The sequence below is a fragment of the Homo sapiens genome, chromosome 12, assembly GCF_000001405.40.
Source record: "Homo sapiens chromosome 12, GRCh38.p14 Primary Assembly".
Classification (NCBI taxonomy): domain Eukaryota; kingdom Metazoa; phylum Chordata; class Mammalia; order Primates; family Hominidae; genus Homo; species Homo sapiens.
The window spans coordinates 123,417,862-123,443,533 of record NC_000012.12 but is presented as its reverse complement, the minus strand read 5'-3'; the positions used below and the strand labels follow the sequence as shown (position 1 = coordinate 123,443,533).

Below are 25,672 nucleotides of genomic sequence, written 5' to 3'. Positions count from 1 at the left end.
TTACAGTGAGCTGAGATCGCACCATTGCACTCCAGCCTGGGCAACAGAGCGAGACTCCGTCTCAAAAAAAAAGAAAGAAAGTTAGAAGAAACTTTTTTTTTTGAGACAGAGTCTAGCCATGTCGCCCAGGCTGGAGTGCAATGGTGCGATCTCAGCTCACTGTAACCTCCGCCTCCCAAGTTCAAGCGATTCTCCTGCCCCAGCCTCCTGAGTAGCTGGGATTATAAGCGCACTGGCCACCACACCCAGCTAATTTTTTGTGTCTTTAGTAGAGACGGGGTTTCACCATGTTGGCCCAGCTGGTCTCAAACTCCTGACCTCATGATCCACCCGCCTCGGCCTCCCGACGTGCTGGGATTACAGGCATGAGCCACTGTGCCCAGCTGAAACTCACTTTTAATTCTTCCTGATGGCATTGTTCTAGGAAGGCTAATTCTACTCAACAGAATTGAGCATTATGTACATATAAAATCAACCTGTTTAAAATATACAGTTCAGTGGTTTTTAGTATATTCAGAGTTGTGCAACCATCACCACAATCTAATTTTAGTACATTGTGATCCCCCCGCAAAAGAAACCCCATACACAGAGGTAGTCACTTCCCATTTTTCCCAGCCCTAGAATGAGGCTAGACTGGGGACGAATCTACTCTGTCTCTATGGATTTACCTATTCTGGACATTACATGTAAATAGAATCATACACTGTGCGGCCTTTTGTGTCTGGCTTCTTTCACTCAGCATGATGTTTTCGAGGTTCATCCTTGGTGTAGCGTATGTCAGTGCTTCATTGCTTTCTCCCCAGCACTTTATTGAGACGTAATTTACCTAAAGGAAATGCACAGATAAGTGAATGGTTCCACAGCTTTTTGTTATTTATTTATAATTTGTTTGTTTGTTTGTTTGTTTATTTTTGAGATGGAGTCTCGCTCTGGCCCAGGCTGGAGTGCAGTGGCGCGATCTCGGCTCACTGCAAGCTCCGCCTCCCGGGTTCACGCCATTCTCCTGTCTCAGCCTCCTGAATAGCTGGGACTACAGGCGCCCGCCGCCACGCCCGGCTAATTTTTTGTGTTTTTAGCGGAGACGGGGTTTCACCGTGTTAGCCAGGATGGTCTCGATCTCCTGACCTTGTGATCCGCCCGCCTCGGCCTCCCAAAGTGCTGGGATTACAGGTGTGAGCCACTGCGCCCTGCTATTTGTTTAGAGATAGTCTCGCTTTGTCACCCAGGCTGGAGTGCGGTGGCTCCATCACAGCTCACTGCACCCCCAGCCTCCTGGGCTCAAGCAATTCTCCCACCTTGGCCTCAAATGGATGGAACCACCAGTGCACACCAACACACCCGCCTAATTGTTTAATTATTTATACAGACAAGATCTCACTATGTTGCCCAAGCTGGTCTTGAACTCCTGGGCTGAAACGATCCTCCCACCTCAACTTCCCAAAATGCTGGGATTACAGGCGGGAGCTACCCTGCCCAACCTCAACTTTTTACCTTCGTGTATACTCACGTGACCTCCACCAAGAGCAAGATACAGCACATTTTTCGAGCTTCAGTACAGCTGAACACTGGAGGTTCCTGGAGGGCACTGCCCCAGGGAGGGCGTGGGAGCTCTGCCCCCTCCCCCCATTCTTCACTTTCATCTGTATCCTCTGAAACATCCTTTATCATAAACTGGTGAGCATATGATGCCTCAGAAGTCTCATATTTCAAATCTTCTTTGGATTGCAAATTGCTTGAGCGTTCGTGGACTAAATCCTGGGCGAATACACGGAGTTCCTCGAGCAGGCTTACCAATGCAGACTATAGCACTGGTTGGGTCTTTGATTTGTCTGAAAAGTTAGGGCAGTCAGAAGCGCAGCTGGGAAGAGGGAGTTTCATGTTGAGTTTAGAAGCACATGACTGAAAGTCAGAAGACAAACTCACCGAAGCTATGAGAGACACCTATGAAACCATAGAAGCCATCTGTGGACTCATGTCTAGGTTATTCAAGATAAACTGTTTAATCAAATTCATACCTCTTTATTTTATGTATTTATGTATTTATTTTATTTATTTTATTTTTTTTCGAGACTGAGTCTTGCTCTGTCACCCAGGCTAGAGTGCAGTGGCACGATCTTGGCTCACTGCAACCTCCCCCTTCCAGGTTCAAGTGATTCTTGCACCTCAGCTTCCCAAGTAACTGGGATTACAGGTGCCTAGCACAATGCCCCACTAATTTTTGTATTTTTGGTAAAGACAGAATTTCACCATGTTGGCCAGGCTGGTCTCAAACTCCTGGCCTCAAGCAATCCACCCACCTCGGCCTCCCAAAGTGCTGGGATTACAGGCATGAGCCACTACACCCAGCTTTATTTTACTTATTTATTTATTTAAATTTTTTTTTCTTGAGACTGAGTCTTGCTCTGTTGCTCAGACTACAGTGCAGTGGCATGATCACAGGTCACTGCAGCCTGGAACTCTTGGGCTCAAGTGATTCTCCCGCCCCAGCTTCCCAAGTAGCTGGGACCACAGGTACGCACCATCACACCAAGATAATTTTGTTTTTGTTTGTTTGTTTTTGTTTTTTTGTAGAGATGGGATCTCACTTTGTTGCCTAGGCTGGTCTGGAACTCCTGGCCTCAAATAATCATCAGGCGTAAGCCTCCCAATGTGCTGTGGGATTACAGGCATGAGCCACCAGGCCCCTCAAAATTAACATCTCTTGACCGGGCACAGTGGCTCACGTGCAGCCAATCTCCAGAACTTTCTGATCTTGCAAAACTGAAACTCTATCCCCATTAAACGACAACTCTCCATTCTCCATCACCAGGTTGGCCAGGCTGGTCTCGAACTCCTGACCTCAAGTGATCTGCCCACCTCCATCTCCCAAAGTGTTGGGATTACAGGCGTGAGCCACGGCACCTGGCTCCATTTTTACTTTTTGTAGAGATTGTTCTCACTGTATTGCCCAGACTGTTCTCCAACTCCTGGCCACTGTGATGGCCCTTAGATGCACTTTGAGTTAATTTTTTGTATATGGTGAACTCCATTGGTTGAAAAGACTGTCCTTGCCCCATTGAATGGTCTTGGCTCCCTTATTGAAAATCATTTGCCAATATATGCAACAATTTATTTACGAGCTATTTTATTTTTCATTCTTTGTTATGGCTGAATACTATTCTATTGGATGGGCATACCCTCTTTTATGTATGGCAGGCCTAATATTTCATCTCAGTATTTAACCACTAGATGTTGTCACTCTGTGATTTGTGGACTTCTAGGCCCTTGCCCAGGAGCTTCGTTTTGATTATTACAACATTCCTGGCGGGGCACAGTGGCTTATTCCTGTAATCCTCGCACTTTGGGAGGCCAAAGTGGGAGGATTACTTGAGGCCAGGATTTTGAGACCAGCCAGGGCGACAGAACGAGGCCTTGTCTCTTAAAAAAAAAAAAGAAAGAAAGGCAGGGTGCGGTGGCTCATGCCTGTAATCCCAGCACTTTGGGAGGCCAAGGCAGGCGGATCACGGGGTCAGGAGATCGAGACCATCCTGGCTAACATGGTGAAACCCTGTCTCTACTAAAACATACAAAAAATTAGCCGGGCGTGGTGGCGGGCGCCTGTAGTCCCAGCTACTTCGGAGGCTGAGGCAGGAGAATGGCATGAACCCGGGAGGCGGAGCTTGCAGTGAGCCGAGATTGCACCACTGCACTCCAGCCTGGGCAACAGAGCAAGACTCTGTCTCAAAAAAAAAAAAAAAAAAAAAAAAATTAGCCAGGTATGGTGGCAAGCACCTGTAGGCCCAGCTACTCAGGAGGCTGAGGTGGGAGGATCACTTAAGCCCAGGAGTTCAAGGCTGCAGTGAGCTGTGATCATGCCACTGCACTCCAGCTGGGGTGACAGAGCAAAGCCTCATCTCTTAAGAAAAAATAGGCTGGGCTCATGCCTGTAATCCCAGCACTTTGGGAGGGAGAGGCGGGCAGATCACCTGAGGTCAGGAGTTGGAGACCATCCTGGCCAACAGGGTGAAACCCTGTCTCTACTAAAAATACAAAACTTAGCTGGGTGTGGTGGTGGGCGCCTATAATCCCAGCTACTTGCAAGGCTGAGGCAGGAGAATCGCTTGAACCCAGGAGGCAGAGGTTGCAATGAGCAGAGATCATGCCACTGCACTCCAGCCTGGGCTACAAGAGCAAAACTCCATCTCAAAAAAAAAAAAAAAGAAGAAGAAGAAAGGCTAAGCATGGTGGCTCATGCCTGTAATCCCAGCACTTTGGGAGGCTGAGGCAGGTGGATCATCCTGAGGTCAGGAGTTGGAGACCAGCCTGGGCAACATGGTAAAATCCCGTCTCTACTAAAAATACAAAAAATTAGCCATGCATGGTGGCGCGTGCCTGTAATCCCAGCTACTCGGGGTGGGGCTGCTGAGGCAGGAGAATCGCTTGAACCTGGAAGGCAGAGGTTGCAGTGAGCCGAGATCGTGTCACTGCACTCCAACCTAGGCAACAGAGTGAGGCTTTTTTATTTATTTTATTTTTTTATTATTTATTATTTATTTATTTATTTATTTTTATTTATTTTTTTTGAGACCGAGTCTTGCTCTGTTGCCCAGGCTGGAGTGCAGTGGCGCGATCTCGGCTCACTGCAAGCTCTGTCCCCGGGTTCACGCCATTCTCCTGCCTCAGCCTCCCGAGTAGCTGGGACTACAGGCGCCCGCCACTACACCCGGCTAATTTTTTTTGTATTTTTAGTAGAGACAGGGTTTCACCGTGTTAGCCAGGATGGTCTCGGTCTCCTGACCTCGTGATCCGCCCATCTCGGCCTGACTTTTTTATTTTATAAAAGTAAAATAGGCCAGGCAGGGTGGCTTACGCCCGTAATCCTAGCACTTTGGGAGGCCCAGGTGGGAGGATTGCCCGAGCTCAGGAGTTCGCGACCAGCCTGGGCAGCACAGTGAAACCCCATCTCTACTAAAATACAAAAAATTAGCCAGGCGGGGCGGCATGCGCCTGTGGTCCCAGCTACTGGGGAGGCTGAGGTAGAAGAATTGCTTTAACCAGGGAGGCGGAGGTTGCGGTGAGCCGAGATCATGCCACTGAGCTCCAGCCTGGGCAACAGAGCAAGATTCTGTCTCTAAATAAATAAATAAACAAATAAATAAAATAAAATAAAATAAAATAAAAAGAAACGACCCTCTGAAAATAGTGTGTTTTGTTAATTTGCTTTGCTTTTGTTGGTTGGTTTAATCTATGTACATTCTCCATTGAGATTCTAGTACCTCAGTGTGGAGAAAATGGATACACCTATCACAAGGAAAGCTGCCAATACATTCCTGGGAAAGACAAGCCCCGTTGCTGAGCTTTCTGCCTGAGACTATCACAAACCTCCAGTGAAACCTAAAATAACTTGAGATTTGTTGTGCCTTTTTTTTTGAGACATGATCTTACTCTGTCACCATGGTCCCACTCTGTCACAGGCACCACTCTGTGGTGAGATCTTGGCTCACTGCAGCCTCAACATCCCGGGCTCAAGTGGTCCTCCCACCTCAGCCTCCCGAGTACCTGCCACTACAGGCATGAACCACTGTGTCCAGCTACTTTTGTTTACTTTTTGTAGAGACAGGGTCTCACTATGATGCCCAAGCTAGTCTCAAATTCCTGGGCTCAAGCAATCCTCCTGCGTCAGCCTCCTGAAGTGTTGAGATTAAGGCATGAGCCACAGCGAATGACTCAAGTTTCTACGCCACTCTGCTAATATTCTCAGTAATATGGATTCCGCATATGTGTCGAATGCTTTGTGATTTTCAGACAGGGGTTTCTCTCTTGTTAATTACTCCTCCTTCTCTCACCCAAGTAGCAAGGTGTCTCCAACACCAGCAATTCCTCCCTAGCGCTGTGGAAGAAAGAATGAAGGGGCCGGGCGCGGTGGCTCACGCCTGTAATCCCAGCACTTTGGGAGGCCGAGGCAGGTGGATCACGAGGTCAGGAGATCGAGACCATCCTGGCGAACATGGTGAAACCCCGTCTCTACTAAAAATACAAAAAAATTAGCCGGGCGTGGTGGCGCGTGCCTGTAGTCCCAGCTACTCGGGAGGCTGAGGCAGGAGAATGGCGTGAACCTGGGAGGCGGAGCTTGCAGCAAGCCGAGATCGCGCCACTGCACTCCAGCCTGGGCGACACAGGGAGACTCCGTCTCAAAAAAAAAAAGAAAGAAAGAAAGAAAGAAAGAATGAAGGATTGCAGTCACGTATGTGAGTGCTTCCTAAGTGCTTGAGGTGTCGCACACATGATCTCATAAGCTCATGTTCCTCGCAGCAACCCTGCCACCTGGGTCCCGCTATTGTCCCCATTTTACAGAGGAGGAGACTGAGGCTCGGAGACGTTAAGTAACTTGCCAAGGTGACAGCGCTGGTTACGTGGAGGAGCCGAGGACCCAGCGAAGTGAGCAGGGCAGACATTCTCCATTTTATTGAGAGTCACAGCGAAGTCGGACGCCCCAGGCCCTAGTGACAATTTGCCTGGGAGTTTTCCAGATCCTCAAGCCTCGGGGACTCTGTCGCGCTGCCCCCAGCAGCTGCTTTCTGTTTGGCCGCAGGCTCCAGAAAACACCCTCAAAGAGACACCCGGATCTTCCATCACCTACGATGCAAATTCTACGGCTGGAAAGCACGAGGGTGGAAAGGAAAAAGTTGCGTTCTTTTTACCCCGCTCTGGATTGCACGGTGGAAACTCCGTCTCCACGGAAACGCACCTCCTGGCAGCGGTCGCCAGGGGCGGGGCTCAGGGCGGCTCCTCCCCGGGGCTGCAACTGTTCCCAGGCTGGGGCGATTGCCGTCACCCCTGAACTTCCCCGTTCCTCTTCTCGGCTGCCTCCTTTTCCGTTGTCCCTTCGCGCCCCAAACCACATCCTGGAGCGCACTCTCCAGCGTGGCTGGCAGCGGGGACGGTGCGCCGGGGCGCAGGCCCAAGAGTCGCGTGCGCGGCCCCTTGCACCATCCCCCCGGGCCCACCCCCGGGCCGCGCTGATTGGGCAGGTAGGGACTCTGCCCAGCGGAAAGTTTTGGGTGCCGGGAGGAAGTCTAACCTTTGGGAGACTCCAAGACAGCAGCTCCGAGGTCGGCGGGGGTCTGGGTGGCCATGGAGGAGCCCCCTGTGCGAGAAGAGGAAGAGGAGGAGGGAGAGGAGGACGAGGAGAGGGACGAGGTTGGGCCCGAGGGGGCGCTGGGCAAGAGCCCCTTCCAGCTGACCGCCGAGGACGTGTATGACATCTCCTACCTGTTGGGCCGCGAGCTTATGGCCCTGGGCAGCGACCCCCGGGTGACGCAGCTGCAGTTCAAAGTCGTCCGCGTCCTGGAGATGCTGGAGGCGCTGGTGAATGAGGGCAGCCTGGCGCTGGAGGAGCTGAAGATGGAGAGGGACCACCTCAGGAAGGAGGTGGAGGGGCTGCGGAGACAGAGCCCTCCGGCCAGCGGGGAGGTGAGTGTGGGAGCGAGGGTTCCGGGCCCACGGCGCCTGCGGGGCGTAGGAGGGCACCTACTGGCAGGGAGACGCCTTCCTTTTCTTTTCTCTTCTCTTTTCTCTTTTTTCTTTTTTTAAGAGATGGGATCTCGCTGTGTTGCCCAGGCTGGTCTCAAACTCCTGGCTCCAAGTGATCCCCCAGCCTCAGCCTCCTAGAGTGCTGGGTTTACAGGTGTGAGCCACCCTGCCTGGCCAGAATCTGTATTTCTAACGAGTTCGCAGTTAATGCTGATGCTATTGGCCCAGGGTCCACAGTTTGAGAACCTTTGACCTAGAGCAAGAAACACTTTTTTTTTCTTTTGACACAGGGTCCTGCTCTATCTCCCAGGCTAGAGTGCAGTGGTGCAAACACGGCTCACTACAGCCTTGGCCTCCTAGGCTCAAGCAATTCTCCTGCCTTGCCCTTCCAAGTAGCTGGGAGTACAGGCATGTGCCACCATGCCTGGCTAACTTTTTTGATGTTTTGTAGAGATGGGGGTCTCACCGTTACCCAGGCTGGTCTCAAACTCCTAAGCTCAAGGAATCCTCCCACCTTGGCCTCCCAAAGTGCTGGGCTTGTGGATGTGAGCCACCACACTTGGACAAGAAACACATTTTACCTAAAGAGAAATTAGTGCATATGACCACAAAAAGACATAGACAAGAAGATTCAGAGCAGCTTTAGTCTCAGCTGCCAAACTGGAAACACTCTAAATGCAACCCAATTGAGTTTTGAAATTGTGATATATGGAATACTATGCAACAGAGAAAAAGAACGGGGTGCTGATACACACAGCAGTGTGAATGAATCTCACAGATGTAACATTGAGAGAAAGAAGCCAGGCACTAAAGAGAAACTACTGTAGATTTTTTTTTTTTTTGAGTCAGAATCTTGCTCTGTTGCTCAGACTGTAGTGCAGTGGCGTGACCTCGACTCACTGCAACCTCCACCTCCTGGATTCAAGCGATTCTCCTGCCTCAGCCTCCTGAGCAGCTGGGATTGCAAGCGTGTGCCACCACGCGTGGCTATTTTTTTTTTTTCTTTTTTGGTAGAGACGGGGTTTCACCATGTTGGCCAGGCTGGTCTCAAACTCCTGGCCTCAAGTGACCCACCCACCTCAGCCTTCCAAAGTGCTGGGATTACAGGCCTGAGCCACAGCACCCAGCCCTACTGTACATTTAAATAAAATTCATGAACAGGCAAAATAATTTATAGTTATAGAAGGCAAACTGGTGGTGGGGGGAAAAGAAGGGAAATTGATAGAGAGCTAGAAGTGTCCCATATCTTAATCAGGGTATGGATATAGGGATCTACACATATGTTAAAAATCATCTGGCTGGGTGCTGTGACTCACGCCTGTAATCCCAGCACTTTGGGAGGCCAAGGCGGGCAGATCACAAGGTCAGGAATTTGAGACCAGCCTGGCCAACATGGTGAAACTCTATCTCTACTAAAACTACAGAAAAAAATTAGCCGGGCGTGGTGGCGGGTGCCTGTAATCCCAGCTACTCGGGAGGCTGAGGCCGGAGAATTGCTTGAAACCGGAAGGCAGAGGTTGCAGTGAGCCGAGATCGCGCCACTGCACTCCAGGTTGGGTGACAGAGCGAGATTTTGTCTCAAAAAAAAAAAAAAAGTCTTTTTTGCGGGGACAGCTTTCTCTGTCATCCAGGCTGGAATACCATGGTGTGATCACAGCTCACTGAGGCCTCAAACTCCTGGGCTCAAGCAGTCCTCCCACTTCAGCCTCTCCAGTAGCTAGGACTACAGGCACACACCAACCACCTGGCTAATTTTTGTATTTTTGTAGAGATGGGGGTCTCACCATGTTGCCCAGGCTGGTCTCGAACTCCTGGGCTTAAGTGATACGCCCACCTCAGCCTCCCAAAGTGCTGGGATTACAGGCCTGAGCCACCATGCCCAGCCTAGTTTTTAAAATTCTTGTCGAAACTCATTAATTTTATGACCTACTAGCAGGTCTCCAGCCACAGTTAAAAAAGAAAAACAAAAAAGCTGCTGTAAGTGGACGATGTCTTTTTTAATCCTCAGACTATTATTGTTTTACAAAACTGAGGCACAGAACAGTTAAGTAATTTACCTAAGGACTTCACGGCAAGTTAAGAGGTGAAGTCAGGATCTTAATTCAGAGATGCTAGTCCTAAATACTCCATCCTAAAATACAGACATTTGACCTTACTTGTACTAACATTTGATGAGTGACTGCAGTGACTGATGCTAGGCTCTGGGGCTATGGAGATAACGTAGACAAGGTCCCTGCCCTCAAGAAGCTCACATCTAGTGGGAGAGGTCAGACACACAGTCCTAGAACCAGAATACAAGTATACAAACCAGGCCAGGCGCGGTGGCTCACACCTGTAATCCCAACACTTTGGGAGGTCGAGGCAGGCAGATCGCTTGAGGCCAGGAGTTTGGGACCAGCCTGGGCAAACTGGTGAAACCCTGTCTCTACTAAAAATACAAAATTAGCTGGACCTGCTGGCACACGCTTGTAATCCAGCTACTCGGAGGCTGAGGCACAAGAATCACTTGAACCCGGGTGGCAGAGGTTGCAGTGAGCCAAGATCGTGCCACTGCACTCCAGCTGGGGCAACAGAGCAAGACTGTCTCAAAAACAAACAAACAAACACCAAGTATACAAACCAAGGCTGGGCGCAGTGGCTCACGCCTGTAATCCCAACACTTTGGGAGGCCAAGGCAGGTGGATCAGGAAGTCAAGAGATTGAGACCATCCTGGCCAACATACCCCGTGTCTACTAAAAATACAAAAATTAGCTGGGCACGGTGGCACGTGCCTGTAGTCCCAGCTACTCGGGAGGCTAAGGCAAGAGAATTGCTTGAACCCGGGAGGCAGAGGTTGCATTGAGCTGAGATCACGCTGCTGCATTCTAGCCTGGCAACAGAGCGAGACGACTTCGTCTCAAAAAAAAAAAAAAAAAAGTATACAAACCAAGAAGTAAGCCAGGAAAGAACAGGAACAGAGTCACTGAAATTCACATGGAAGTATGAAGTTTCCCTGTAGCTTCCCTGGTAACTTTCTTCTTCTTCTTCTTCTTCTTAATTATTATTATTATTTGCCTCATACCTTCTCTGACCCCTGGTAATTTATTTCACCTATTCCTAAGTGATAGTGACAATTGTATTTCTAGATAATATTCTACTTTAGTGTCTGTCAAGTGACATGGTTAAGTGTGATGACTTGTAGCCTGGCTTTTGAGAGTCAAGGAAAGTTAACTGACTTGCGGGGGATTGCTCAGCCACATTCTGTGTTATTTTTGCCTCCCTCTCCGGGCACAAGGATATGGAGGAAGTCCCCATTATGAGCCGAGAACAGCGTGGTGTGCACAGGGGCTGGGTAGTTTCCCATATGGGGCAAAGTGGACAAGTTTCATCAGGCGGCAGATGAGATGGCATATTTTCTTCTCAAACCGCAGCCTTAAGAACAGGGATAGGGAAAATGCATGAATTAAGAAAATGAACGTTTAGTGCCACTAGACAGTTTACAAAAATATGCCTTGTTTTTTTTCTTTGTATGTTTTGAGACAGGGTCTCACTTTGTCACCCAGGCTGGCGTGCAGTGGTTTGAACACTGCTCACTGCAGTTTCAGCCTCCCTGGGCTCAGGTGATCCTCCCACCTCAGCCTCCCTAGTAGCTGAGACTATAAGCATGTGCTACTATGGCCACCTAATTTTTGTGTTTTTTCTAGAGATGAGGTTTCCCATGTTGTCCAGGCTGGTCTCAAACTCCTGGGCTCAAACGATCCACCCGCTCTAGCCTCCCAGAGTTCTGGGGTTACAGGCGTGAGCCACTATTCCTGACCCCTTTTTGGTTTTTTAAATTGTAGTAAAGCTGGGCGTGGTGGCTTATGCCTGTAATCCCAGCACTTTGGGAGGCCGAGGTGGGCGCAGGTCACCTGAGGTCAGAGTTCAAGACCAGCCTGGCCAACATGGTGAAACCCTGTTTCTACTAAAAATACAAAAAATTAGCTGGGCTTGGTGGCAGGCGCCTGTAATCCCAGCTACTAGGGAGGCTGAGGCAGAAGAATTGCTTAAACCTGGGAGACAGAGGTTGCAGTGAGCTGAGATCATGCCACCGCACTCCAGCCTGGGCAACAGAGCAAGACTCTGTCTCAAAAGAAAAAAATAAAATAAAATAAAATAAATTGTAGTAAAATACAGTAACATAAAATTTACCATCTTAAATTTTTTTTTTTTTTTTGAGATGGAGTTTCGCTCTGTCGCCCAGGCTGGAGTGCAGTGGTGGGACCTCAGCTCACTGCAAGCTCCGTCTCCCAGGTTCACACCGTTCTCCTGCCTCAGCCTCCTGAGTAGCTGGGACTACAGGCGCCTGCCACCACGCCTGGCTAACTTTTTTGTATTTTTTTAGTAGAGACGGGGTTTCACCGCGTTAGCCAGGATGGTCTCTGTCTCCTGACCTGGTGATCCGCCCGCCTCGGCCTCCCAAAGTGCTGGGATAACAGGCGTGAGCCACCGTGCCCGGCCCATCTTAACTATTTTTAAGTGTACAGTTCAGCTGCATGTCCATTCACGCTGTTGTGCAGCCATCACCACCATCCGTCTCCAGAACTCTCTTCATCTTGCAAAACTGAAACTCTGACCTGTTAAGTAACAACGTCTCCTTCCCCTCCCCCGGCCCCCCAGTAACTACTTTTCTACTTTCTGTCCCTCTGAATCTACCTATTGTAGGTTGTTCATATCGTGAAATCATATATTTGTCTTAAGTGCCTGGCTTATTTCACTCAGCACAATGTCCTCAAGATTGATTCATGTTGTGGCACATGTCAGAATTTCCTTGCCTTTGAAGGCCGAATAATATTCTGTTGGAGGCATATACTATACTTTCTTTATCTATTCATTTGTTCATGGACACTTGGGTTACTGCTACTACCCCTTGGCTGCTGTAAATAGAGCTGCTGTGGTGAGAGGCTGAGGCAGGCGGATCACATGAAGCCAGGAGTTGAAGACCAGCCTGGACAACATGGCGAAACTCCATCTCTACTGAAAATACAAAATTAGCCAGGCGTAGGCCGGGCGCGGTGGCTCACGCCTGTAATCCCAGCACTTTGGGAGGCCGAGGCAGGCAGATCACCAGAGGTCAGGAGTTTGAGACCAGCTTGGCCAACAAGGCAAAACCCCATCTCTAATAAAAATACAAAAATTAGCCGGGCGTGATGGCGGGCGCCTGTAATCCCAGTGACCCAGGCAGGAGAATCGCTTGAACCTGGGAGCCCGAAGTTGCAGGGAGCCAAGATTGTGCCATGGCACTCCAGCCTGGGCAACAGAGACTCCTTCTAAAAATATAATAATAATAATAATAATTTAATTATATAGAGTTGCTTGCAAAGGTTGCGTCTTTTCTTCCAGGTGAACCTGGGCCCAAACAAAATGGTGGTTGACCTGACAGATCCCAACCGACCCCGCTTCACTCTGCAGGAGCTAAGGGATGTGCTGCAGGAACGCAACAAACTCAAGTCGCAGCTCCTGGTGGTGCAGGAAGAGCTGCAGTGCTACAAGAGGTGGGCTCCACTGCCTGGAGGGTCCTGCACCCAGACCTGGCCCAGAATTCCTTGCTAGGTTACATATTTGTTTTTGTTTTGTTTTGTTTTTGTTTTTTTGAGACAGAGTCTCGCTCTGTCGCCCAGGCTGGAGTGCAGTGGCGCGATCTCGGCTCACTGCAACCTCTGCCTCCCGGGTTCACGCCATTCTCCTGCCTCAGCCTCCCGAGTAGCTGGGACTACAGGCGCCCGCCACCGTGCCTGGCTAATTTTTTGTATTTTTAGTAGAAACGGAGTTTCACCGTGTTAGGCAGAATGGTCTCGATCTCCTGACCTCCTGATCTGCCCACCTTGGCCTCCCAAAGTGCCGGGATTACAGGCATGAGCCACCAAGCCTGGCTTTTTTTTTTTTTTTTTTTTTTTTTTTTTGAGGGTCTCACCCTGTCGCCCAGTGGTGCGATCTTGGCTCACTGCAACCTCTGTCTCATGGGTTCAAGCGATTCTCCCACCTTAGCCACCCAAGTAGCTGAGACCACAGGTGCATGCCACCATGCCCAGCTAATTTTCTTATTTTTTGTAGAGACAGGGTCTCGCCATGTTGCCCAGGTTAGTGTCAAACTCTTGGGCTCAAGTGATCCACCTGCCTCAGCCTCCCCAAAGTGCTGGGATTACAGGTGTGAGCCACCACACCTGGCCATTGGAAAGTTTTGATCAAGAGAATGACAAGAGGCCAGTCTCCATTAAAAATACAAAAATTAGCTGGGCATGGTGGCTCATGCCTATAGTCCCAGCTACTCGGGAGGCTGAGGCAGGAGAATCACTTGAACCTAGGAGGCAGAAGTTGCAATGAGCCGAGATCACGCCTCTGCACTCCAGCCTAGGTGACAGAGCAAGACTGTGTCTCAAAAAAAAAACGAAACAAAACAAAATAAAAACGACTGGGGATGGTGGCACGTCTGTAATCCCAGCACCTTGGGAGGCCGAGGCGGGCAGATCACGAGGTCAGGAGTTCGAGACCAGCCTGGCCAACATGGTGAAACCCCATCTCTACTAAAAAATACAAAAATTAGCCAGGTGTGGTGGCGGGCGCCTGTAATCCCAGCTACCTGGGAGGCTGAGGCAGGAGAATCACTTGAAACCAGAAGGCGGAGGTTGCAGTGAGCCGAGATCGTGCCACTGCACTGCAGCCTGGGCGAAAGAGCAAAACTCTTTCTCAAAAACAAAACGAAACAAAAACAAAAACAAAAAGTCCTGGTGCAGTGTTACATCCCAGCACTTAGGGAGCCTGAAGCGGGAGGATCACTTGAGCCCAGGGATTCAAGGCCAGCCTGGGCAACATAGCAAGACCCTGTCTCTAAAAAGAAATTAAAAAAAAATAAGGAAAGTTAAAAAAGACTGCAGTGGTACCATATACAAAATAGATTGTAGGACAAGCAAGAGAGGCTATAAAAAAGCTGTTGCCATAATCACGTTGAGACTCGTAGCTATTTCCATTTGTGCTATTTCCCAAAATGTTTTCCTTTACTTAGGTATTTTTTGAAAAGGGGGCTCTGTAGTCAAATAATTCTGGGAAACACTGAGTTAAACGAAGCATGTTTTCTTATAGGTAGAGGAAGGAAAAACCAGGGCAATAAAAATGTCGTGTTGGCTAGTATTTATTGATACTCGCCATGTGCCAGGCACTCTGTCTGCTAAATGTATCCCAAGCATCATTTCAATTAGTGCTCACAGCAAGACTGTGAGTAGCAGTGATGTTATCACTATGCTGAGCTGAGGACCAGAGTGGTGGGCACCTGCTTAAGCAGTGGTGGCAACAGTGGTGATGTGACCTCAGACAGTGTGACATCAGAGACTGTGCTTGTAATTAGCACGCCGCATTTAGATCACGAAAGCTTGGAATTAAGGACATACCCTGATCAAAAATGAAACAAAGCCCAAGTGATATGATTCTTTAAATGCCTTAAATGTAGCATCTTTCAGAGAGCAGCAATACAGCAGAAGCGTTGTAAGAACCCACATTTATTGTCTCCCTTTTGCTGAGGTTGGAACCGTGTTCATGGAAAGACCTTTGTCTCATTTAGTAAGTAATTCAGGGCCGGGCGCGGTGGCTCACGCCTGTAATCCCAGCACTTTGGGAGGCCGAGGTGGGTGGATCACAAGGTCAGGAGATCGAGACCAGCCTGGCTAACACGGTGAAACCCCGTCTCTAATAAAAATACAAAAAATTAGCCAGGCGTGGTGGCGGGCGCCTGTAGTCCCAGCTACTTGGGAGGCTGAGGCAGGAGAATGGTGTGAACCTGGGAGGTGGAGCTTGCAGCGAGCCGACATCTCGCCACTGCACTCCAGCCTGGGCGGAAGAGCGAGACTCCATCTCAGAAAAAAAATAGAATAAAATAAGTAGTTCAGGCACAGGTAGTTAAAAAGAGAAACTGCCAAGCTGCTGGTGTCGTGAGCAGCTTGTTAGTGGGCAAAACCACACACTTTCTTTCTAGTTTTGAATTCTCAGAGAACAAGAGACGCACACTTTCCATCTGGCTCAGGCCAAGAGAGGCAGGATTCTGCTTCGTCTCTAGTGTTATATATTGTGGAGAAGCCAGCATGCCAGCTGAGATGTTCTCATAGCAACTGCATCCATTTGAAGGTCCAAACTCACACAGATAATATACTGATAATAAATTGATTACAGCTGGTTGAGGTGGCTCACACCTGTAATCCCAGCACTTTGGGAGGCCGAGGCAGGCAGATTGCCTGAGGTCAGGAGTTTGAGATCAGCCTGGGCAACATGGTGAAACTCCGTCTCTATTAAAAATATAAAAATTATTAGCCAGGCGTGGTGACTCATACCTGTAGTCCCAGCTGTTCAGGAGGCTGAGGCAGGAGAATTGCTTGTACCCAGGAGGCGCAGGTTGCAGTGAGCTGAGATGTGTCACTGCACTCCAGCCTGGGTGACAGAGCGAGACTGTATCTCAAAAAAAAAAAAGTATAATTCCAGGGAAATATGGTAGGTTGCTTCCAAAGAGAGCCACAGCAGTATTTCCCACCCTGCATACCTTTTGCAATGAAACTTTGCCACTCCTTTCATCAAGAGGTGGATTCTGTTTTCCCTCTCTTTGCATGTAGGCTGGCTCTGTGACTTGCTTTGACTGTGAGAACAGGGTGGAAGTGACGCTGTTAGGCCTCTGGGGTTAAGTTGGTAAGAGGCCTTTCTTCTGTTTCTGTGCTCTTAGAATGCTTCCTTGAGACCAGCATTCTGTGAGGAAGCTCAAGGGGAAGTCCCATGGAGAGGTCATGTGAAGGAGAACCAGGGCGCACCTGCTGACAGCCCCAGCTGTGCACAGCCCTCCGCCAATGGCCCACTGAACGCAGCCAAGTGAGAAGCTCAGGCTAGCAGGTGGACCACAGAGCCAACCATAAGAAGCCAGGCACAGCAGTGTGCACCTATAGTCTCAGTGCCTGTAGTCTCAGCTACTTGGGAGGCTGAGGCAGGAGGATCCCACGAGACTAGGAATTTGAGGCTTCAGTGGGCAGTGATTGCACCCGTGAATAGCAACTGCACTCCAGCCTGGGCAACACAGTGAGATCTGATCTAAAAAAAAAAAAAAAGAAAGCCAATTATAAGAAAGAGTCGGCTGGCCGCGGTGGCTCACGCCTGTAATCCCAGCACTTTGGGAGGCCGAGGTGGGCAGATCACGAGGTCAGGAGATCGAGACCATCCTGGCTAACACAGTGAAACCCCGTCTCTACTAAAAATATAAAAAAATTAGCCAGACGAGGTGGCGGGCACCTGTAGTCCCAGCTACTCGGGAGGCTGAGGCAGGAGGATGGCGTGAGCCCCGGGGGGCAGAGCCTGCAGTGAGCCGAGATCGCGCCACTGCACTCCAGCCTGGGCGACAGCGAGACTCCATCTCAAAAAAAGAAAAAAAAGAAAGAAAGAAAGAGTCATCATTGGAGATCATGTCACCACTGTTTTTAGTCACCAAGTTTAATTTATGTAATAATAGATCATGGAAAAATGGAAATTTTAGATGATGCTTCTTGTTAAATCATTATTATAATAAGTATCTATAATAAAATATCAGCTGGGCAGGTGGCTCACACCTGTAATCCCAACACTTTGGGAGGACAACGTGGGTGGATCACCTGAGGTCAGGAGTTCAATCAACACCAGCCTGGCCAACATGGCAAAACTCCGTCAATACTAAAAATACAAAAATTAGCCGGGTGTGGTGGTACACACCTGTAATCCCAGCTACTGAAAAGGCTGAGGCACAAGAATCACTTGAACCCAGGAGGCGGAGGTTGCAATGAGCAGAGATTTTGCCACTGCACTCCAGCCTGGGTGATAGAGTGAGACTCTGTCTCAAAAATAAAATAAAATTAGAATATAAATAATATAATATTTTGTAATTACAAAAATTTAGGCCGGGTTTGGTGGCTCATGCCTGTAATCCCAACACTTTGGGAGTTTGGGACAGGAGGAACACTTGAGCCTAGGAGTTCAAGATGAGCCTGGGCAATGGATCAAGACCCTGTCTCAAAAAAATTTTTTTTAATTATTGATAACAATATTAAGAAATGGCTGAGCACAGTGGCTCACGCCTGTAATCCCAGCACTTTGGGAGGCCGAGGCAGGCAGATTGCCTGAGGTCAGGAGTTCGAGACCAGTCTGGCCAACATGGTGAAATCTCATCTCTACTAAATATACAAAAAAATTAGCCAGGCATGGTGGCGTGCACCTGTAATCCCAGCTACTCTGGAGGCTGGGGCAGGGGAATTGCTTGAACCAGGGAGGTGGAGGTTGCAGTGAGCCAAGATCGCACCACTGTACTCCAGCCTGGGCGACAGCAAGACTCTGTCTCAAAAAAAAAAAAAAAGTAGATATTAAGAGCCCACTCTTTGCAAAACTCTTTTATGAAGAAGGAGGGAGAAGTATGAATCCTGCCCTTTCACACTCACACTGAAAGAGGTATCTTTGTCAGCTCAAGGTGCTGTGAAATACATGGTGAGCCACTGAGCCTGGCCAGGAATTTTTATTAAAGACACACAATTCGGCCAGGCACGATGGCTCACACCTGTAATCCCAGCATTTTGGGAGGCTGAGGCAGGCAGATCACTTGACGTCAGGAGTTCAAAACCAGCGTGGCCAACATGGTGAAACCCCGTCTCTACTGAAAATACAAAAAAATTAGCCAAGTGTGGTGGTGGGCACCTGTAATCCCAGCTACTCGGGAGGCTGAGGCAGGAGAATCGCTTGAACCTGGGAAACGGAGGTTGCAGCAAGTTGAGATTGCACCATTGCACTCCAGCCTGGGCAACAATAGTGAAACTCCATCTCAAAAAAAAAATAATAATAAGGCCGGGCGCAGTGGCTTATGCCTGTACAGCACTTTGGGAGGCAGAGGCGGGCGGATCACGAGGTCAGGAGATTGATACCATCCTGGCTAACACAGTGAAATCCTATCTCTACTAAAAATACAAAAAATTAGCCGGGCGTGGTGGCGGACGCCTGTAGTCCCAGCTACTTGAGAGGCTGAGGCAGGAGAATGGCGTGAACCCGGGAGGCGGAGCTTGCAGTGAGCCAAGGTAGCGCCACCACTCCAGCCTGGGTGACAGAGCTAGACTCTGTCTCAAAAAAATAAATAAATGAAAATTTTTAAAAATAAAATAAATAAAAAAATTAAAACACACAATTCAGTCCACAGCAAGGGGACAACACCATGGGGGTAAATTTACCAGTGGGCACTGCAACAAAACGCTTAAGTGGATGTAATGAGTTGTACTGTGCCGTAATTGAAATGTTTCATTTTGGTCAGTCTTCTTATGGTTGCAAGTGACAGAAGTCCGATTTAAACTAGCTTAAACACAAAAGGAAATTTTTTGGTAACATAATTGGGAAGGGGCTGGGTGTGGTGGCTCATGCCTGTAATCCCAACACTTTGGGAGGCCAAGGCGGGTGGATCACCTGAGGTCGGGAGTTTGAGACCAGCCTGACCAACATGGAGAAACCCTGTCTCTGCTAAAAATACAAAATTAGCCAGGCGTGGTGGTGCACACCTGTAATCCCAGCTACTTGGGAGGCTGAGGCAGGAGAATCATTTGAACCCGGGAGGCAGAGGCTACGGTGAGCCGAGATCGTGCCACTGCACTCCAGTCTGGGCGACAGAGCAAGACTCTGTCTCAAAAAAAAAAAAAAAAAATCTAACTCTTATCAACATCTGACTTACAATTTATACTTTTATTTTACTTATTTCTTTATTGACTGTTTCCTTCTCCTACTGGAATATAAATTACGTGAGAGAATATATTTTGTCTATTTTGTTCAGAGACAAAACAGTTCAGAGACAAAATATTTATTAACCACAGTAGGTAGCTTAATAAATATTTGTTGAATGTTAAGCACTATGTATCATCTTAGATAATCTCTCAATCCTTTGAGGTAGGTACTATTATTAGACTCATTTTATAGGTTAGGAAACCAAGGCTTAAGTTAGAGAATTTATACACAATCATATTCCTAGAAAACTGAGAAGCTTGAAGCAGTAGCCAATGCAATTAGGTAAGAGAAAGAAACAAGAGGGTCAGGCACGGTGGCTCACACCTGTAATCCCAGCACTTTGGGAGGCTGAGGCGGGCAGATCACTGGGTCAGGAGATTGAGACCATCCTGGCTAACACAGTGAAACCCTGTCTCTACTAAAAATACAAAAAATGAGCCGGGTGTGGTGGCGGGCGCCTATAGTCCCAGCTACTCGGGGGGCTGAGGCAAGAGAATGGCGGGAACCTGGGAGGCGGAGCTTGCAGTGAGCCGAGATCGCGCCACTGCACTCCAGCCTGGGCAACAGAGCGAGAATCCGTCTCAAAAAAAAAAAAGAAACGAGGCATCACATTGGAAAGGTACAGGGAAGATTCTAATTTTAAACAGAATTTCTCTGACTCTAGTGCTTTCAACCGTAATATTACCATAATCATCATCATCATCATTAAGACCCTTTATTTTCAGAGCTGCACAGATAAGAGGTCTGTAATAAAAGCCAGGCTCAGTGGTTCATGCCTGTAATCCCAGCACTTTGGGAGTCTGAGGCAGATGGATCACTTGAGGTCAAGAGTTTGAGACCAGCCTGGGCAACACGGTGAAGCCCATCTCTACTAAAAATACAAAAATTAGCCGAGCATGGTGGCAGGCGCCTGTAGTCCTAGCTATTCAGGAGGCAGAGGCAGGAGAATCACTTGAACCCGGGAGGCGGAGGTTGCAGTGAGCTGAGATGGCGCCACTGCACTCTAGCCTGGGCAACAGAGAAAGACTCCAACTCAAAAAAAAAAAAAAAACGATCTGTAATAAAATAATCCATTTATTTTTTGTCCCGTTTCCCAGTGGCCTGATTCCACCAAGAGAAGGCCCAGGAGGAAGAAGAGAAAAAGATGCTGTGGTTACTAGTGCCAAAAATGCTGGCAGGAACAAGGAGGAGAAGACAATCATAAAAAAGCTGTAAGTGTCACCTTGCTGCCCCCCGGTCCCGCCAAATAATAACTCAAGGAAGTAGTCGGGGGCAAGAAGAGGCTGACCAGCTGCCCAGGGCAGGGAGGGCCTCTACTCTCCCGGTTGTGGTGCTGCAGCCCATGGGAAAACTCAATGCCAGTGTATTATAATGATATCTGCCAGGCAGTAGCCTAGGCACTTGGCATATATTAATTCATCGAATCATCACAGTGACCCTGCAAGGTAGATACTATTTTACAGATGGAGAAATAGCTACTGAGAGGTAAGGTAACTTGCCCAAGGTCTCACAGAGGGTAAATAGTGAAGTCAGGAACCCAAGGAAGTCTGGCTTCTACACTCCACTGCCTCCCTGTGATGTTTGACCAGGCTGGGTGCAATGGCTCACACCTGTAATCTCAACAGTGATTACAGGAGGCTGAGGCAAGAGATTCATTTGAAGCCAGGAGTTTGAGACTAGCCTGGGCAACAAAGTGAGACCCCATGTCAATGAAAAAACATCGTTTTGTTTTTTGTTTTGAGACAAAGTCTCACTCTGTCGCCTAGGCTGGAGTGCAGTGGTGCAATCTCGGATCACTGCAACCTCTGCCTCCCAGGTTCAAGCAGTTCTCCTGCCTCAGCCTACTGAGTAGCTGGGATTACAGGCATGCGCCACCATGCCTGGCTAATTTTTGTATTTTTGGTAGAGATGGGGTTTCACCATGTTGGACAGGCTGGTCTTGAACTCCTCGTGACCAACCTGCCTCAGCCTCCCAAAGTGCTGGGATTACAGGCATGAGCCACTGCGCCTGGCCAATTTTTTTTTTTTTAATTAGCTGGTATCATTTGTCGGCCTTTTAGCTGAGATCAAGTGAAATTAGCTGGGCGTGGTGGCCTGCACCTGTGGTCCCAGCTACTCAGGAGGATGAGACTGGAGGATTACTTAAGCCCAGGAGTTCAAGGCTGCAGTAAACTATTATCACTATTATCACGCTACTGCACTCCAGCCTGGGTAACAGAGCGTGACCCTATCTCAAAAAAAAAAAAAAAGAGAGAGAAAGAAAGAAAACAAAAATGATAATAGCGATGACCAGGCACGGTGGCTTACTCCTGTAATCCCAGCACTTTGGGAGGCTGAGGCGGGCAGATCACCTGAGGTCAGGAGTTCGAGACCAGCCTGGCCAACATGGCAAAACCTCGTCTCTACTAAAAATCCAAAAATTAGCCGGGCGTGATGGCAGATGCCTGTAATCCCACCTATTCGGGAGGCTGAGGCAGGAGAATCGCTTGAGCCCGGGAGGTGGAGGTTGCAGTGAGCCGAGATTGTGCCACTGCACTCTAGCCTGGGCAACAGAGCGAGACTCAAAAAAAAAAAAAAAAAAAAGGAATAACCCAGGCCTTCTTTCTCAGGGACAGGACCTTGAGGAGCTTGGAAGGGAGCAGGGGCAGAGGGCAAGGGGCAGGAGCACAGGGGAGAATACCTCTGGCCCAGCAGGAAAAAACCAAAGGAAGAGGCAGTCAGGCATGTAGCTTCCAGAGAGCAAAGTCATGGTTCTTCCTCTGGGGGCAGTGGTTCATGTGAGCTCAGTATGGTGGGCAGGGAAATAGCAGTTTTCTTCCCAATATTACTCAGAGGCTGTTGGGTTTAATTTGATGAGATGAAGTAGGACTGGGGAAAGGGAAAGATAATTCCCCATACCTTAAGATTCGCCATAGCTAAGCCAGATGCAGTGGCTTACACCTGTAATCCCAGTACTTCCGAGGTGGGTGGATCATTTGAGGTCATGAGTTCGAGACCAGCCTGGCCAACATGGTGAAACCCTGACTCTATTAAAAAATACAAAAATGAGCTGGGTGGTAGTGGCGTTCGCCTTAATCTCAGCTACTCAGGAAGCTGAAGCAGGAGAATCACTTGAGCTTGGGAGGCGGAGGTTGAGGTGAGCCGAGATGGTGCCACTGCACTCCAGTCTGAGCAACAGAGTGAGACCCTGTCTCAAAAAAAAAAAAAAAAAGATTTAACATAGCTCCCACTTAGTGAGCATTTGCTATGTGCCAGACACTGAGCTGAGTAAACATCTACTCAGGAGATCTGTTTTACAGACGGGCAAACTGAGAGTCAGAGAGGATCAATGACCTGCAAAGGTTACACAGCGGGTCAGTGGTGGTGGAACTCAGACCTGAAGCCGCATCTATTTACCTCCTAAGTGCATTCGCCCCTAATCTTGGGCTACATGGAATCTACGGCAGGGAAAACACCTTTCCAGAATGTTTCCTGCTGCACATGGTGATGCTCAGGAAATGGAATCAAGAGTCAAACTCGACCGGGCGCAGTGGCTGACGCCTGTAAACCCAGCACTTCGGGAGGCTGAGGTGGGAGGATCACCTGAGGTCAGGAGTTCGAGACCAGCCTAGCCAACATGGTGAAGCCCCGTCTCTACTAAAAATACAAAAATTAGCCGGGCATGGTGGCGGGTGCCTGTAATCCCAGCTACTCGGGAGGCTGAGGCAGGAGAATCGCCTGAGCCCAGGAGGCAGAGGTTGCAGTGAACTGAGATTGCACCACTGCACTCCAGCCTGGGCAACAAAACGAGACTCTGTCTCAAAAAAAATAAAAATAGGCCGGGCACAGTGGCTTACGCCTGTAATCCCAAGACTTTGGGAGGCCGAGGTGGGCGGATCACCAAGCCAAGAGATCAAGATCATCCTGGCCAACATGGTGAAACCCCGTCTCTGCCAGGCGCAGTGGCTCAGGCCTGTAATCCCAGCACTTTGGGAGGCCGAGGCGGGAGGATCACGAGGTCAGGAGATCGAGACCATCCTGGCTAACATGGTGAAACCACGTCTCTACTAAAAATACAAAAAAATTAGCCAGGCATGGTGGCAGGCTCCTTTAATCCCAGCTACTCAGGAGGCTGAGGCAGGAGAATGGCATGAACCCAGGAGGCGGATGTTGCAGTGAGCCAAGATCACACCACTGCACTCCAGCCTGGGCAACAGAGCAAGACTCTGTCTCAAAAAAAAAAAAAAAAAAAAGAAACCCCGTCTCTACTAAAAATACAAAAATTAGCTGGGTGTGGTGGCGTGTACCTATAGTCCCAGCTACTTGGGAGGCTGAGGCAGGAGAATCGCTTTAACCTGGGAGGCTGAGGCAGGAGAATCGCTTTAACCTGGGAGGCAGAGGTTGCAGTGAGCCAAGATCGCACCACTGCACTCCAGCCTGGGCGACAGAATGAGACTGTGTCTGAAAAAAAATAAATAGATAAAAATAAAAATTAAATAAATAAAAATACAAAATTAGCCATGGCCTCTGTAATTTCAGCTACTCGGGAGGCTGAAGTAGAATAATCACTTGAACCTGGGAGGAGGATATTGCAGTGAGCTGAGATCACACCCCTGCACTCCAGCCTGGGCAATAGAGCAAGACTCCATCTCAAAAAAAAAAAAAAAAAGAAAAAAGGGAGTCAATATCCTCTTGATAACCAGAATAGAACTGGAGCAACAGGCAGTTTCAGCCTGGCTGTGGGAAATGCCCAAGGACCTCTCCCTGTCCCACGTGGGACCATTCCTCTTGAATGAGCCGTGTCCCAGCATTGGAACATGCTATGCACTTTCCTCTGAATACTTCCCTCATGTCTGTGCACCAGGGTTGATCCCATAGTTCTTCGGATGCTGCCTCTTATACTAAGAGTGAGGTGCTTGTGTAAAATTCAGATTCTCAGAAATCAAGTCAGTAGGCCGGGCGCAGTAGCTCACACCTGTAATCCCAGCACTTTGGGAGGCCGAGGCGGGCAGATCACAAGGTCAGGATATGGAGACCATCCTGGCTGACCATCCTGGCTAACATGGTGAAACCCCATCTCCACTAAAAATACAAAAAATTAGCCGGGCATGGTAGTGGGCGCCTGTATTCCCAGCTACTCGGGAGGCTGAGGCAGGAGAATGGCGTGAACCCAGCAGGCAGAGCTTGCAGTGAGCCGAGATCGTGCCACTGCACTCCAGCCTGAGTGACAGAGCGAGACTCCGTCTCAAAAAAAAAAAAAGCCGGGCGCAGTGGGTCACACCTATAATCTCAGCACTTTTGGAGGCTGAGGCGGGCAGATCACAAGGTCAGAAGATTGAGACCATCCTGGCCAACATGGTGAAACCCCAAGCCTGTAGTCCCAGCTACTCAAGAGGCTGAGGCAAGAGAATTGCTTGAACCCGGGAGGCAGAGGTTGTAGTGAGCTGAGATTGCGCCACTGCACTCCAGCCTAGCAACAGAGCAAGACTCTGTCTCAAAAAAAAAAAAAAAAAAAAAAAGAAAGAAAAAGAAAAAGAAATCAAGTCAGTGGTTCTTGGATGAAGCTCAGAAATCTGGATTTTTTTCAAAAGTTCCTTGGACCACACTGATATGTGCCCTCTTAGTTGCCAGGTGTCAGGACAGTAGGCTGCAGCTTTCCTGTACTCCATTCATTCAACAAATATTTACTGAGGGTCTGCCATGTGCCAGGCACTGTTGTAGGTGCTGAAGATACAGCAGTGAACAGAACCTAAAGTCTCTGGCTCGTGGACCTTACATTCTAGTAGAGGGAGTCAGAGAGTGAACAGGTAAAGAAATATATTAACAGGACAATTTCAGATAGCTATATGTGCTATGATCACAAATAAGGGGACAGAACGGGAGAGAGAGGACTACTTTAGATTTGGGTTATCTTTTATCACAGCAGTGGGAAAAAAAACACAAGAAAATCGAGTTGGGAAGTCCTGGAAGGCTTCTGTGAGGAGGTGACATTCAAACTGATCACTGAAGTACATTAAAGACCGGAAGGAAGAGCATTCCAGGACAGGAGCAGTGGCTCATGCCTGTAATCCCAGCACTTTGGGAGGCCAAGGCCAGAGGATCGCTTGAGCCCAAGAGTTTGAGACTAGCCTGGGCAACATAGAGAGCTTTTTTGTAGAGACCTCATCTCTACAAAAAAGAATAAAATTAGCCGGGTATGTGCCTGTAGTTCCAGCTACTTGGGAGGATCTCTTGAGCACAAGAGGTCCAGGCTACAGTAGGCCATGGTCACACCACTACACTCCAGCCTGGATGACAGAGCAAGATCCCGTCTCCCACCAAAACAAAAGAGCATTCCTGGTAGACGGGACAGTAAGTGTAAGAGCTTCAGGCTACAGAAATTCCCAGAACAGGCCAGGCACAGTGGCTCACGCC

At 48.8% G+C, this 25,672-nt stretch overlaps 1 protein-coding gene, 1 long non-coding RNA gene and 1 pseudogene across 5 annotated transcripts in view, besides 10 other annotated features; 2 read left to right on the top strand and 1 right to left on the bottom strand.

Moving 5' to 3' along the window:
• Positions 1-378: 378 nt before the first annotated feature.
• LOC124903041 (uncharacterized) lies at positions 379-2,090 on the bottom strand. The gene is made up of 2 exons (XR_007063502.1): positions 1,492-2,090; positions 379-826 (listed from the first exon to the last, which is right to left on the bottom strand). It is a non-coding gene; the product is annotated as an uncharacterized LOC124903041 (long non-coding RNA).
• Positions 1,546-1,845: an enhancer, noted in NCBI's record as "active region_7269". NCBI's record gives its function as "activates an Ori minimal core promoter by ATAC-STARR-seq in GM12878 lymphoblastoid cells {active_cell/tissue: GM12878}" and the evidence as "EXISTENCE:reporter gene assay evidence [ECO:0000049][PMID:35858748]".
• Positions 1,676-2,019, top strand: COPS5P2 (COP9 signalosome subunit 5 pseudogene 2; annotated as a pseudogene).
• Positions 6,844-7,103: a silencer, noted in NCBI's record as "silent region_5044". NCBI's record gives its function as "represses an Ori minimal core promoter by ATAC-STARR-seq in GM12878 lymphoblastoid cells {active_cell/tissue: GM12878}" and the evidence as "EXISTENCE:reporter gene assay evidence [ECO:0000049][PMID:35858748]".
• Positions 6,844-7,874: a biological region, named in NCBI's record as "H3K27ac-H3K4me1 hESC enhancer GRCh37_chr12:123920207-123921136".
• Positions 6,850-25,672, top strand: part of RILPL2 (Rab interacting lysosomal protein like 2) — a 27,379-nt gene continuing 8,556 nt past the window's right edge. For 3 of the 4 annotated variants that reach the window (XM_011538012.4, XM_047428476.1, NM_145058.3), the window contains exons 1-3: positions 6,850-7,452; positions 12,875-13,026; positions 20,377-20,490. In XM_011538012.4, the coding sequence (XP_011536314.1) occupies positions 7,114-7,452; positions 12,875-13,026; positions 20,377-20,490 (605 nt within the window). In that variant the 5' untranslated portion in view covers positions 6,850-7,113. The remainder of the gene's footprint in view (positions 7,453-12,874; positions 13,027-20,376; positions 20,491-25,672) is intronic. The other variant, NR_130703.2, reaches the window with a different exon arrangement.
• Positions 6,945-7,874: an enhancer, noted in NCBI's record as "H3K27ac-H3K4me1 hESC enhancer chr12:123920207-123921136 (GRCh37/hg19 assembly coordinates)". NCBI's record gives its function as "activates a minimal SCP1, AML or CMV promoter by ChIP-STARR-seq in naive H9 embryonic stem cells {active_cell/tissue: H9 hESC(naive)}" and the evidence as "EXISTENCE:reporter gene assay evidence [ECO:0000049][PMID:30033119]".
• Positions 11,859-12,178: an enhancer, noted in NCBI's record as "active region_7268". NCBI's record gives its function as "activates an Ori minimal core promoter by ATAC-STARR-seq in GM12878 lymphoblastoid cells {active_cell/tissue: GM12878}" and the evidence as "EXISTENCE:reporter gene assay evidence [ECO:0000049][PMID:35858748]".
• Positions 12,419-12,468: an enhancer, noted in NCBI's record as "active region_7267". NCBI's record gives its function as "activates an Ori minimal core promoter by ATAC-STARR-seq in GM12878 lymphoblastoid cells {active_cell/tissue: GM12878}" and the evidence as "EXISTENCE:reporter gene assay evidence [ECO:0000049][PMID:35858748]".
• Positions 15,471-15,520: an enhancer, noted in NCBI's record as "active region_7266". NCBI's record gives its function as "activates an Ori minimal core promoter by ATAC-STARR-seq in GM12878 lymphoblastoid cells {active_cell/tissue: GM12878}" and the evidence as "EXISTENCE:reporter gene assay evidence [ECO:0000049][PMID:35858748]".
• Positions 15,541-15,620: an enhancer, noted in NCBI's record as "active region_7265". NCBI's record gives its function as "activates an Ori minimal core promoter by ATAC-STARR-seq in GM12878 lymphoblastoid cells {active_cell/tissue: GM12878}" and the evidence as "EXISTENCE:reporter gene assay evidence [ECO:0000049][PMID:35858748]".
• Positions 15,951-16,060: an enhancer, noted in NCBI's record as "active region_7264". NCBI's record gives its function as "activates an Ori minimal core promoter by ATAC-STARR-seq in GM12878 lymphoblastoid cells {active_cell/tissue: GM12878}" and the evidence as "EXISTENCE:reporter gene assay evidence [ECO:0000049][PMID:35858748]".
• Positions 16,131-16,380: an enhancer, noted in NCBI's record as "active region_7263". NCBI's record gives its function as "activates an Ori minimal core promoter by ATAC-STARR-seq in GM12878 lymphoblastoid cells {active_cell/tissue: GM12878}" and the evidence as "EXISTENCE:reporter gene assay evidence [ECO:0000049][PMID:35858748]".